The sequence below is a fragment of the Homo sapiens genome, chromosome 11, assembly GCF_000001405.40.
Source record: "Homo sapiens chromosome 11, GRCh38.p14 Primary Assembly".
Lineage (NCBI taxonomy): Eukaryota > Metazoa > Chordata > Mammalia > Primates > Hominidae > Homo > Homo sapiens.
The window spans coordinates 5,383,328-5,397,417 of NC_000011.10; the positions used below are offsets into that span (position 1 = coordinate 5,383,328).

The window sequence follows — 14,090 nt, forward strand, 5'->3', positions numbered from 1 at the left end:
TTAATTATCTGCAGTAAATGGAAATATAAAAATAGACAGGAAAATGAGTGCAGGAGTGAGAGAATCTTGAAGTAGTGGTGATTGTGGTGCTTCAAGGCAGATGTGCAATTTAAAAGCCACTGTGAACATCACATGGATAATCCTCTTCATATACTACATCCGACCTCTCTGGAAAACGACGGGTCCATTACTAGTGGATAACAGAAGACAGTAAATAAAATGATAAGTGATATGAATTGACTTCTTTATGAAATTAAAAATAAACAGATAAGGCAGTAGTACTTTTGTTGCAGCAGATGTCTGTGTAGCCAAAACCTGGGGACTGAATGCTAAAAAGTTAGGGCTCTTCAGCTTCAGGAGACAGGGGTGGAGATAAAGAAAGTTTCCTGCCCATAGGATTCCCAGCCCTGGGGACCCTTTGTTTACCATTAAGTTCTCCCAGCTGGAGCCATGGTCTTTAGGAGGATAAATCCTTCTGTGACAGCCACAGCCTTGTGCCTCTCAGTGACCCTTGTGTCATCCTTATCTATACTCTTCTTTCTTCCTTTGGAACCTACTCATTGGCTTCACATTTTTGTTATTACCTGCTGGTGAGTCTCACTACTGTCTTGTGCCGGGGTTTCAGGAGTGGGTAATTAGGGGGACATGGGAGAGAGGAGGGAGAAAATGAGGGAAAATGGGAATGCATAGGTATCACAAAAGCAGTGAGCCCAAAAAGACATGGTCTCAGTTACAATTAAGGCTTTTCCCCCAAATGTTTGAATGTCCTTAGCCAAATGGATTCCCCACATTCCCTGCACTAAGCCTAATGGGATTTTTTTTTCTTTGTTTTCTTTTGTTGTTGTTTCTTTGTTTGTTGTTTTTAGAAATGAGGTCTAGCTCTGTTACCCAGGCTACAGTGCAGTGGTGTAATCATAGCTCACTGTAAACTCAAACCGGATTCAAGCAATCCTCCCACCTTATTCTTCCAAGTTGCCAGGATTATAAGTGTGAACCACCATATACAGCAGTCTGGGCCTTAGATTTTTCACTTGGAAAATGAAGTCTTAGAAACCAGGGTTCTCACAGAATCTCTTCTGATATTCTCAGAGTCTATGCACAGAACCAGAGCCAGAGAAAGAACAGAAAACAGGACCTTCTCTTGCTGGAAAAGAGGCGAGCTCATCTGCAGTATTCTGTTAGGAAGGCCAGGAGGCAGGGCTGCCTCACTCCCCTGATGAGTGCCTGCATGGCCAGGCCAGCCCCTCCCTGGATCATGTCTAGAAGTCAGGATGGCAGAAGCCCTCTGGTCTCTATACTCTTTCCTGCCGAGCCATCTGGTATACACACCCTCTCCTTACTCTCATCAGAAAAACAGTCATTCACTTATTCAACAAATTATTAAATGCATTTTATATGCTGGTCCAGTTAACATAGAAAAGACCCCATCCTCAATCTGCTTATTTTAATCCAAACAACACCTTGTAACTTCCCCAGTATCCAGGATATGGCCTTCGCCTTCCAAAATCCTCCTCTATCCTACTAAAAACAGGCATGTTTACAGATGAGTTTGACCACTGTGGAAATGTTCTCTAGGGGTTCAAAAATGAATAATCTGGTTCAAGTCCTTGTGTTTAGGTGCAGCGTCTTTTGCATATTCTCCTATTTACAAGAAACAGTATCCTCCACCAATGTAGTTCATTAAAAAATAACTAATATTAAATTCAAACAAAAGAATATTTAGACACAGGTGAGGTAGAGAGCCAATTACTCATTGTATACTGAAAATCTCTTTTCAGGAATTTTCTCCTGTGATCTAAGATGAATCTACTCTGCCTTGAATATTTTAATTATGTTGTAATTAGATGTAACTGACTGCTCTGAGTGGACTCCTCCATTGCTTAGTAGACATGAAAAAATGACTGTTGCTCTCCTATCATGGATAATTATCTCTCTTGCTAGGAGAAATCCCCTAAAGCTTTCTTCCCAAGAGGAAGTATACTTTCCAAGAGAAATAATCCCAGCCCTGTCATTGTCTCTGTATAGACATCTTGTTTCTACCAGATCCTTCTCCCTGTCCATCTCATCACTCTGAAGTTGGTGAACACAGAGCTGACAACAGAACCCCAGGCACAAAGAATCAGGATAAGAGGTGAGTACTTTATTTATTCACCCATTTAGTTTTTCATGCAAAAAAATATATATATAGTGGTACCTACCACATCTTAGACACTGTCAGGCTCCAGGGGCCTTTAGAGAATTCCAGTCTAATCAACTTAAAAAATGAATTATTAGGTTGGTGAAAAATTAATGGCAGTTTTTGCCAATATAAATTTATGTTCTAAACATGTATAATAAAGAATACGTATAAATACTACCTATAATATATATGTTGTACAAAGTATATATATGTGTACAAATATCTAATATTTTTGTATATTTGTTTACATATATAAATATACAGACACATATATGTATACCCTATACTTATATATAAAAAATCTATAAAGTATATAAAGAATATATAATGTATATACTAAAATGTATATTCTATAAAGTATTTATGAGTAAATCTATACACTTATATGTTATTTAAACTTATACATATGTGTACTTATATGGATGTATAAGTATGTTCTATATATATATCAATAAGTATATATAAATATAAAAATATAAAGAATGTGTGTGTGTATTTACACCTTAATAGTACATTACAGGTACTACGTGAGAACAGAGAAAGATGTACCTAATGCTACAGAAGGAAGTCAGGAGAGATTTGACAGAAGAAGTGATATTTGTACTAAGTCTTAAAGGATCCGCAAGTGTTTACTGGTTGGAAAAACAGGGGTGGTTTTTGCCAAGAAAGCAATAAATATAGAAGAATAAAAACAAGAAAAGTATGTGTAGGGAATTGAAGAAAAAAATGATATGGGTGTGTTGACTGGGAAAAGATGGGTTTGGAAAGGTGCCAAAACAAGAAGGACCGGGCTAAAGATGGTGTTACAGGGTGTTTGAGGCTACCAGGGCCATGCATAGAGAGACAAAGGTTCATATCTTATCCTGATTTTCGCTCACTACCAGGCCTTGGGATGATTGTTTACCTTTTTGTAGTTTTCTCCTTGTGAAGTAGTAATAAAATGTTTCATAGTTACATGAAATATTCATGATTATGTCAAGCTTTTCACAGCATCTAAATCATGTATGGCCTCAATAAATTGGACTATCACCACAGATCTTTTACAAGTTTGAACTTTATTCTAATGATAGGAGCTACTGAAGTACTGAAAACAGTGCAGTGATTCATAGAGTTAGTACTTTCTGCATAATCTCGGTGGCTGCAGTAGAGGATGGACCAAGGGAAGGAGGAGCCTGGCTTTGCATGTTGAATGACAGGTCAGGCAAGCAGGTGTGGAAAAGCTAAGAACAAGGACATTGGCTACAGAGATGAAGATGAATAGATTACAGGGATAGATTAAAAGAACTTAGTTAAAAATTAGATACAGAAAGAGGGAGAGGGTTGAGTAGAGCATCAGCTCAAAAATGTTGTCTTGAATGGCAGGAAATGGTGAATAATATTATAAAAAATGCATAAATATGAGAAGAATCAGGTGTGAAAAGATGGATGCTGGGCTCAATATTAGACGTGTTGAGTTTCATCAGTATCCTTTTGGAAACACCTAGTGAGAAGGCAGAAACTCAGGCCTGATATGTAACGGAGTTATCTGGACTAGAGATTAATGTCTAAGAGCCACCACTGTATAAGTAATAATAATAATAGATAATATAATGAATGAGAAGTTAAGGTGTTCAAGGACAGTAAACTGAATAACATAAATATTTGAGCAATGGAAATAAGAGAGTGCATAGAAGCTATCACAAAAATCAGAAGAGAACCAGCAGATCTTGGCATTAAGAATTTCTAGAGAGAGCTCTAAAAAGGAAGGCATGGCCAGAGCACACAACTATTGCACAAAAAAATCAATAAAAGCAGGTATGATTAAGACTCTCCATTGCATTTGGCCCCTAGAAGTCACTGGTGAATTTAAGGAGCATTGCTTTAGCTAAGTGGGTTTTAAAAAAAACATTATAGGGTGGTTGGTTGAGTAGTAAACTGAGAAGTAAAGAAATGGAAAAGATAAATGTGGACTATTTTTTACCCCTTGCCAAAGTGATGTAAGCCTTATATCCATGCAGCACCTCTGCTCTCAACTCGAAGCTCACAAGTATAATAAAATTCAAAGTAGCTTGCGTGACCTGCAAGATCATACATGACGTAGCATTTAGCTGCTACTTCAAGTGGATTTGCCACCATTCCCCACCTTGCTTCCTCCATTGAATATACATTGGCCTTCTTTTGTCTTTTAAACTTGTCAAGCTGCTCTCTGCTTCAGGAACTTTCACTTGTTCTTCCTCCTTCCTTGAATGTTTTTCCCTAAGATAGCCACACACTTGCCCTCTGATTTTGATTTCTTCTCTAAAATTACCTACTCAGAGAGGTCTTCTCTGACTACCCTATATAAAATGCATCACTCTTACCTTCCTCCTTTGCTCCCTACTTCTTTATTGCATTACATTACCTTGCATTGCAGTATGTATGTATGTGTTTATTTTTGTCTCTGTTCTGTTTCTGTTCATTGTATTTTCAGTACCTAGGTGTAAAAGTAATTGCAGTTCTTGCCATTGAAAGTAATGGTAAAAACCACAATTACTTTTGCACCAACCTAATAGAATTATGTCTGCCATGTAATACAATTTCAATATGTATTTATTGAATCAATTAATGAATAATTATTGAAATAATTGAATATTGAAATAATTATTGAAATAAGATTAATGGTAATGATACATATTTAATAATTTATTCAAATAATATTTAAAGGATTCCAATGATATGGTGGCTAAAAAAGTCAATCCCTAGAGCTAATATTAAAATTAAAAAAGAGACAGTCATGGTTTATGTCCACAAGGAATTCACATTATAGAAGCAATACAGAAATTGACAATGCTGCAGGGAAAATATCATGGTAATTAGTGCATAGTGAACTACAGGAACACATAGGAGAGGGTATTCAAACTAAACTTGGGGAATTTAAGAAGGCCTTCTGAAGGACATCATATCTAAGCTAAGGTGGGTTATATTAGTAGAAGTTAACTAGACAAAGATTAAGGGAAAGCTATTTCAGGAAAAAATGTTTTTATTCCAGGAAGAATGAAAATACAAATGTTTACCTATGAGCAAGCATACTAGATAAACTGGAAGAATTGTTTAGTGTCATTAACACCGTGAATATACAGAGGAAATTAGGATAGATAAGAAAATAGGATATACACGGAGAGAAAATAAGGTAGGGTCTTGAATGTCATTTTAAACCTTTTTTACTTCATTAAAAACTTGTTTATGTATACGTCTCTCTTGCTATATAGTAGTCAACTGAATACAGTAGTACAAAAGATGAGTCACTGGAATAGTCCTGAAAGAGTGATCTGAATTAGAATAGCATCAATGAAGGTGACGGTGAGTAAACAGACTTGAGGTATTCAGTAAACAGAAACCCTAGGACTTGGTGATTGGTTGATTAGATACTATGGAGAGATGTGATATGGAGAAGTCTAACATAAAACATGACATTTGACTTGAGCCACTGAGATAATGAAAAGTACAGATGTTGCTAGAGTCTGGAAATCAAAAGAGAGAAAGACAAGTTCTGGAATTATATATTTGTTATTTATCAATATATGGATGGTAAATGAAATCATGGTAGTGGATGACATTAAGAAGAAATAATAGAATATGGCCAGGAAATTGCCAAGGATGGGAAGAACTATACTTAAGGGTTGAGCAATAAAGGCACACCAGCAAAGAGGCAGAGAGGAACTGAAATAATTGAAATACAGAGGAAAACTGGTGAGGGCGAGGTTATCAAAGAAAGTTCAATAAAGTAGTGAGATTGGCAGAATTCATAAGGGTGGAGTAGATAATACTAAAGGTGATGATGACCATGGTACTGCTTGTGATGTTGTGAATGTTAGTGAAGCTGAAGAATTAATAACCAGAAATATCCATTTATTTTCAGCTCAATCCCCGAGGAATGTCAGTCCAATATTCGCTCAGTCCTCAATTCATGCTGCTATCCAACATTACTCAGTTTAGCCCCATATTCTATCTCACCAGCTTTCCTGGATTGGAAGGCATCAAACACTGGATTTTCATCCCCTTTTTCTTTATGTACATGGTTGCCATCTCAGGCAATTGTTTCATTCTGATCATTATTAAGACCAACCCTCGTCTGCACACACCCATGTACTATCTACTATCCTTGCTGGCCCTCACTGACCTGGGGCTGTGTGTGTCCACGTTGCCCACCACTATGGGGATCTTCTGGTTTAACTCCCATAGTATCTACTTTGGAGCGTGTCAAATCCAGATGTTCTGCATCCACTCTTTTTCCTTCATGGAGTCCTCAGTGCTCCTCATGATGTCCTTTGACCGCCTTGTGGCCATCTGCCACCCTCTGAGGTATTCGGTCATTATCACTGGCCAGCAAGTGGTCAGAGCAGGCCTAATTGTCATCTTCCGGGGACCTGTGGCCACTATCCCTATTGTCCTCCTCCTGAAGGCTTTTCCCTACTGTGGATCTGTGGTCCTCTCCCACTCATTTTGCCTGCACCAGGAAGTGATACAGCTGGCCTGCACAGATATCACCTTCAATAATCTGTATGGACTGATGGTGGTAGTTTTCACTGTGATGCTGGACCTGGTGCTCATCGCACTGTCCTATGGACTCATCCTGCACACAGTAGCAGGCCTGGCCTCCCAAGAGGAGCAGCGCCGTGCCTTTCAGACATGCACCGCTCCTCTCTGTGCTGTGCTAGTATTCTTTGTGCCCATGATGGGGCTGTCCCTGGTGCACCGTTTTGGGAAGCATGCCCCACCTGCTATTCATCTTCTTATGGCCAATGTCTACCTTTTTGTGCCTCCCATGCTTAACCCAATCATATACAGCATTAAGACCAAGGAGATCCACCGTGCCATTATCAAGTTCCTAGGTCTTAAAAAGGCCAGTAAATGAGTCCTGGGGCTAAAACTCCCCCTAGAGGCCTATAAGAAGGCCCCAAATTGGACTGAAAATTTGGAGTATTGAGTATATAGCATGCTCTTAAAGATTTTTTGCCCCTGTCCTAAATAAAATATGGGCAAATTTATGTCTGGAGTTGTGGCTTTAAAAAACTGAACTTCTCTTGCTTAGATTTTAATGGCTCCTCCTACAGCTGAGAACTGGCATTTTTGGTAGCATCAAAGCTATCCAGAAGGCAACTTTATTGAAGGTCATCATCAATGTAACTAAAACTAAAATGAAACTAAATAAAAACTAAAAAGAACAATAAATACCAGAGCACCCAGAGGAGAGCCTGGCAGAGACCAGGTAAATGCCATTTGCTCTAACTCACCTCCGGAAATACACCTCCTTCCATGGTTCCTTGGGACTGCTTCCATCTTATCTACCTGGCCAAGTTTCTTCTCATCTTTTTCTATCCTGGTCAGCAGTAACTTTCAGACCCCCAAGTCACATCAGAAACCTCAGAACTCCTGCATTCTTCCTCAACACCTGTTTCAAGCAACACCCCCCCAAATTTCTAAGGTTGTGCTCTCTCCTGACCATATTCCTCTAGAAGAAGAGACTTTGATCCTATCCTTGACTCCTCTCATCTCTGATTTTACCTTACAACCTCAAGTCTGACATTAAGCTACAGTCAGTATTTACTTGTAGGTGTTTTAGTTGTGTGATATTGAACAATGACATGTAACGTGAGAAAGCTTCAGCCAAGGAAACTCACACAAACATATTGAAGTCACAATCCCATTGCTCAGGAGGAAATAAACTTTACATTGGCTGATCAGCCTGTCCCTACGAGTGACTAAATGCAATCCTTGCAGGGGTCTCAGCTTTGAAATTGCTTCCTCAAGGACATTTTCACAGATAGCTCCTCCCTTTCCAATGGTAAAGCACCAAATGCTCCATCGGTTTCCTTCCACAGTGCCCTGCATTTCCCGTTGTAACATTTGTCACACAGTAATGTCCTGTTTATGAAGGTGTGTGCATGTGTCCATTAGAATGACTAAATCAAGATCCCTGGAGGAATTAGGCATGTCTTGCTCGCCAGTAAATGTATATAAATACAATGCCTAGCACATGCCATATACTCAATAAATATTAAATGTATGCGTGGACATATAGATACATAAAGAGGGATCCAGAGCTAACAGAAGTTCTCTTCTTGTCTCGAGGAACTCCTCCTCTTCACATTCAGAAGCCCAAGAAGACACCTTTCTGCTGGCATCCATCAAGGTGGTATATCTTCATTGTCCCAGTTCTACTTTACTCAGGCCCTCTGGATCCTCCCACCCATTCTCCTACAGGTTAAAATTACCATGAGGCCAGGCACGGTGGCTTATGCTATAATCCCAGCACTTTGGGAGACCAAGGTGGGAGGATTGCTGAAGGCCAGGAGTTTGAGACCAACTTCAGGCAAGAAGATTACTTGAGTCCAGGAGTTTGAGACCAGCCTGAACAATACAGCAAGACCCTATCTCTACAAAAAAAATTAAAATTAGCCATGTGTGGCGGTGCACGTCTGTAGTCTCAGCTACCTGGGAGGCTGAGGTGGGAAGAATGCTTGAGCCCAGGAGGTTGAGGCTGCAGTGAGCCATAATCACACTACTGCCTGGGTGACCAAGTGAGACCCCGATTCAAAAATAAAAAGGAAAACAAACAAAATTACAAAGCGAAATTTAAAAAAGAACCAAACTCTAAAAATATGTATGTATGTTTGTGCGGTTTCTTGTGTATGTTTGTGTGGTATCTCATGTTTGTATGTGTGGGTGTTATCAGACTCTCAGGCTTGGGAGCCCCTCTGGAACCCAGCAGTTTCTGCAGCCTTACAGGCTGGCACTCCTTAAACATAGGTTCCATTCTAAACTTTAATTTACATCCACATAGTAGGCCACATTACTCAATAGCAGTTCCGAGACTTAGAATATTCTTCTCCATGTTGAGAGGAAATTCCTATTCTATAGATCTCATTTGGTAGAATGGGGTACAAAAAATTTAGGATTTGGATTTAGATTAGCACTGAAGTCCCATTTTGCCTCTTATTAACAAATAGACCACTGACATCTAAATTTCATTTTCAAATTAGGAAATACGTACAGGTAATAACATATTTGAAAACTTCTACCTTACTCAAATTTAAAATGCAAATTAACATATCTTAATTTGTTACTAAACGAATATTGAAGAATAGAGTTAACAATCAATATCTGGCTGGGCGCGGTGGCTCACGCCTGTAATCCCAGCACTCTGGGAGGCCGAGGCGGGTGGATCACGAGGTCAGGAGATCGAGACCATCCTGGCTAACACGGTGGAACCCAGTCTCTACTAAAAATACAAAAAGTTAGCCGGGCATGGTGGTGGGCACCTGTAGTCCCAGCTACTCAGGAGGCTGGGGCAGCAGAATGGCGTGAACCCAGGAGGTGGAGCTTGCAGTGAGCCGAGATCGTGCCACTGCACTCCAGCCTGGGCAACAGAGCAAGACTCCTTCTCAAAAACAAAAAAAAAGAAAAATAAATAAATATCTGTGCTGTTAAGTATGTGGTAAAAGAGGTATTTTCACATACCAGAATGAAAACATAATTTAATTTGCCTTTTATAAAAAACAAAATACATCAAAAGACTTGAAAATATTCATGCTCTGTGTCTCAGAAATGCCACTTCTAAAAATCTGTCCTAAATAAATGATAAATTAAAAATTTAGGATGTAAGCTGTTTGTGGCAAAATTTTTTTCCTGTTTGCTCACAGTTCTAAATCCATCTCCTAGGTCAGTGATCAATAAATATGTGTTGAACTATTTAATAAGTGAATATTATAATTTGTGTTATTGTTCATAATTTTAAGAATGTAAGCATACAAAATGTCTAGAATAAAAATATTACATAAATCAAAGCATATTCATTTGATACACTATTATTAAAATGACATTTAAATGCTTAGGAAACTGTTGGCAAAATATTAAATAAAAATAAGCAAAATTAGGTACAGAACAATCACTATGTAAAAGGCTATAAATATTTGTATCAAAAGAAAAACAGCTGTTATATATAATCTTATTTTCTATATAGATTTCTCTATCTTTGCCGTATACAAATTTTCTGAAGAAGACATTTCGGTTTTATAATCTAAAAAGAGCATTTTACAATGACTATAAAAAGTTATATACGATTATGCTGAAGATGACAATGAAGATGATAATTATGATCATGATAAATGCTAATGTTTATTAAGCATTTAACTCACGGTAGAGAGGGCTGAGTACTTTTTATTTTCATTATTTTACATTATTTCATTTAATTTTCTCACCAAACCTGTGAAGTAGGGAGGTATTATTATTTTCAATGTTTTAAAATTAGGAAACTGAGGCTCACAGAGGAAAGCAACTTTCCTTAGTTAAATCATTAATGTAAGTCAGAACTGAAATTCAATATCAAGCGCATCTGATTTTCTTAAACCATTATGCTGGACTCCTCTCCAAACAGGACCACTCGTTTCAGGGCCATGTTTTCCATGTTATACTGAAGGAAGTCCCATCATTGGCTTCTCCCTAACTTTTTGTTCCCTTTCCTAGAATATGTTATCTATTTTTCCATTTAGTATCAGGAAAAGATAGCAACAGAAAACAGTAACATAAAATTATTGTATTAAATACTTTTTAATAGACTTGATTTTAAGAGTTATAGATTCACAGAAAAACTCAGTAGAAGGTACTGAGTACCTTCTATTTTGCATATCATGGTTTTTTAAGCACATATTATAACCTAGGTATTATTCTAAGGGCATAATACACTATAAGTCACTTTATCTTGACAATAACCTTATGAGATGGATACTACTAGATTACCCATTTTACAGATAAGTACACTGAGGCTCAGAGACAAAATATCTTGCCCAATATTATACCAAGTTTGACAGTTCTGACTGTGGTGCTTGTAGTTTTAACTATGCTCCACTGATTCAACAACAACAACAAACCAAAAAAAACATAAAATCAGCCAAAGCTGTACATATTCCTGCTAATGACAGTATCTGCTTTAAATCATCTGGCCCATTCCTCAGCACAAGCCTATATTCCTGCAGGCAAAAATCTTTACAACTATCCCGTTATTTAATATCCACAAGCCTCTCTAAGCCTTTGAAATTGATACTGTATTTGTAAAACACAGATGGCTCATGTAATTGAAGTTCACAGAATTTTATGTTTTGCTTTGTGACAACTCTGAGCCTTTGTACATGTTTTCCCCTCTATCTAAAATGTTACCTATTTTGAATGATAGTGCAGACATTAGTAAGGAAAGCTTGCTAAATATTTGTATCACCTGGGAAGCCTGTTTTTGCTTCATCAGGGGACGTTAGTTTTTTTCACATCAACCTCCTGCAGAAGACAATGCTTTCTGAAAGACAGAGTTTGTGTCTTATTAATGCTTGCATTCAAATATCTGACCCAAAGCTTGTGATCTTTACATACTTGCTCAGTGAATGACAGTGAATAACTACCTGGTTGTAAAGACTGTCTCAAGGGGACTTTTGTCTGGGAAAAGAAAAGAAAGACAAAAAAGAGGATTGAGAAGCACCCAATAAATTTTCTTATGAAGTTGGCAGCTGGGGAGAGAAGACAGTCAAGGATCCTCTGGCTCACTGAAATACCTCCTAGAGGTACTCATGGTTCACTAAATTTCCATTTAAGATAACTGGGCATCTCAAATGCTTTGGTCTAGGAGGATGCTAATCCCTCTTTGACATTCATCAAGTCTGCGTCCATCTAGGGAGATTCCTTTGAGGGCCAAAGACCCAAGGAAGAGAGACAGCTTTATAAGTGCCAGTGCAGCCCACGTAGAACAGCATCCTGAGTCAAATGGAAGATGCTGGCATGGAGTGGAAGGGCTGCATGAGAAAGAAGCTACAGAGAAGAAAGGACCAGTAAGTTGCTGAAGGTCCTTTGTTTTGTGGATAAAGGAAGTCATTGGAGTGACCTCTCTAATATCCCTTATCTAGCATGACTATATGCAGGGTTATGGAATAGGGCAGCTTCCAGGAAGATGGCCAATCTGTTGTTAGGGCTGCTGTTCTATCATATCTCCCGTGATGTTTTTGATGGGGAAGACAGATCTGGACTTGTTACTGGGCTATGCCTTGTAGAGAATGATACAGGGTTGTGGCAGGCAAGGAAACATAATCTCAGCAATTGCTCCAATTGATGAAGCTTCTAACATTTCAGAGTGCTTTCCTCCACAGCCCCATTAAACCTAATCATTTCTCTCGAAAAGAGGCAGGGCCCATGTGGAAATCTTTCAACATAGTAAAAAAGCTAAGGTTTAGAAAGATTCAGTAACTTTGCCAAAGCCATATGGAAGGATTGTCCAAAAACCTGTGCAAGAGCTCATGGCTTCCCACTCCAAATACCTTACGCTTCATTGTTGTCAGATTATTTTTCAATCTTTTCTTAGAGCTCACTGCAACATTGCTCACTGGAATGCTGGAAAGTACAACTAATAAAATGTGTCTATTGAGTATTTGCTTCTAACTGTACTCCATTTAAAATTGCATATGAATGGCTCTCTAATCTATGGAGTAGGTAGAATTGTCTCAATTTTTCAGATGAAGAAACTAAGATTAATCAGATACTTTGCACAATCATAGAGTGAAGAGCTATTGAAGTTATGATTGTAATACAGATCTGGTCCCAGAGACACTGCTCTTAACCACACTGCACTGCCTAATGAAAATGTGCCTAGGCTGCAAGACAGGGATGCCCTCTCTCACCACTCCTATTCAACATAGTGTTGGAAGTTCTGGCCCGGGCAATCGGGCAGGAGAAGGAAATAAAAGGCATTCAATTATGTAAAGAGAAAGTCAAATTGTCCCTGTTTGCAGATGACGTGATTGCATATCTAGAAAACCCCATTGTCTCAGCCCAAAATCCCCTTAAGCTGATAAGCAACTTCAGCAAAGTCTCAGGATACAAAATCAATGTGCAAAAATCACAAGCATTCTTATACACCAATAACAGACAAACAGTGAGTGAACTCCCATTCACAATTGCTTCAGAGAGAATATAATACCTAGGAATCCAACTTACAAGGGATGTGAAGGACCTCTTCAAGGAGAACTACAAACCACTGCTCAAGGAAATAAGATACAAACAAATGGAAGAACATTCCATGCTCATGGATAGGAAGAAACAATATCGTGAAAATGGCCATACTGCCCAAGGTAATTTATAGATTCAATGCCATCCCCATCAAGCTACCAATGACTTTCTTCACAGAATTGGAAAAAACTACTTTAAAGTTCATATGGAACCAAAAAAGAGCCCGCATCGCCAAGTCAATCCTAAGCCAAAAGAACAAAGCTGGAGGCATCACACTACCTGATTTCAAACTATACTACAAGGCTACAGTAACCAAAACAGCATAGTACTGGTACCAAAACAGAGATATAGACCAATGGAACAAAACAGAGCCCTCAGAAATAATGCTGTCTATCTACAACTATCTGATCTTTGACAAACCTGAGAAAAACAAGAAATGGGGAAAGGATTCCCTGTTTAATAAATGGTGCTGGGAAAACTGGCTAGCCAAATGTAGGAAGCTGAAACTGGATCCCTTCCTTACACCTTATACAAAAATTAACTCAAGATGGATTAAAGACTTAAATGTTAGACCTAAAACCATAAAAACTCTAGAAGAAAACCTAAGCAATACCATTCAGGACATAGGCATGGGCATGGACTTCATGTCTAAAACACCAAAAGCAATGGCAACAAAAGCCAAAATTCACTAATGGGATCTAATTAAACTAAAGATCTTCTGCACAGCAAAAGAAACTACCATCAGAGTGAACAGGCAACCTACACAATGGGAGAAAATTTTTGCAATCTACTCATCTGACAAAGGGCTAATATCCAGAATCTACAATGAACTCAAACAAATTTACAAGAGAAAAAAAACCCCATCAAAAAGTGGGCAAAGGATATGAACAGACACTTCTCAAAAGAA

The 14,090-nt window shown here is 38.4% G+C and overlaps 2 protein-coding genes across 3 annotated transcripts in view; one reads left to right on the top strand and one right to left on the bottom strand.

The window, feature by feature from the left end:
- OR51B5 (olfactory receptor family 51 subfamily B member 5) overlaps nt 1-14,090 on the bottom strand; it is a 165,335-nt gene that overhangs the window by 43,010 nt on the left and 108,235 nt on the right. The gene's annotated exons all lie outside the window — the stretch shown is intronic.
- Nucleotides 485-9,936, top strand: OR51M1 (olfactory receptor family 51 subfamily M member 1). Its single transcript, NM_001004756.3, has 3 exons — nt 485-590; nt 2,026-2,131; nt 6,057-9,936. Exon 3 carries the CDS (start codon nt 6,072-6,074, stop codon nt 7,050-7,052), a length of 981 nt encoding a protein of 326 aa, NP_001004756.2. The 5' UTR covers nt 485-590; nt 2,026-2,131; nt 6,057-6,071; the 3' UTR covers nt 7,053-9,936.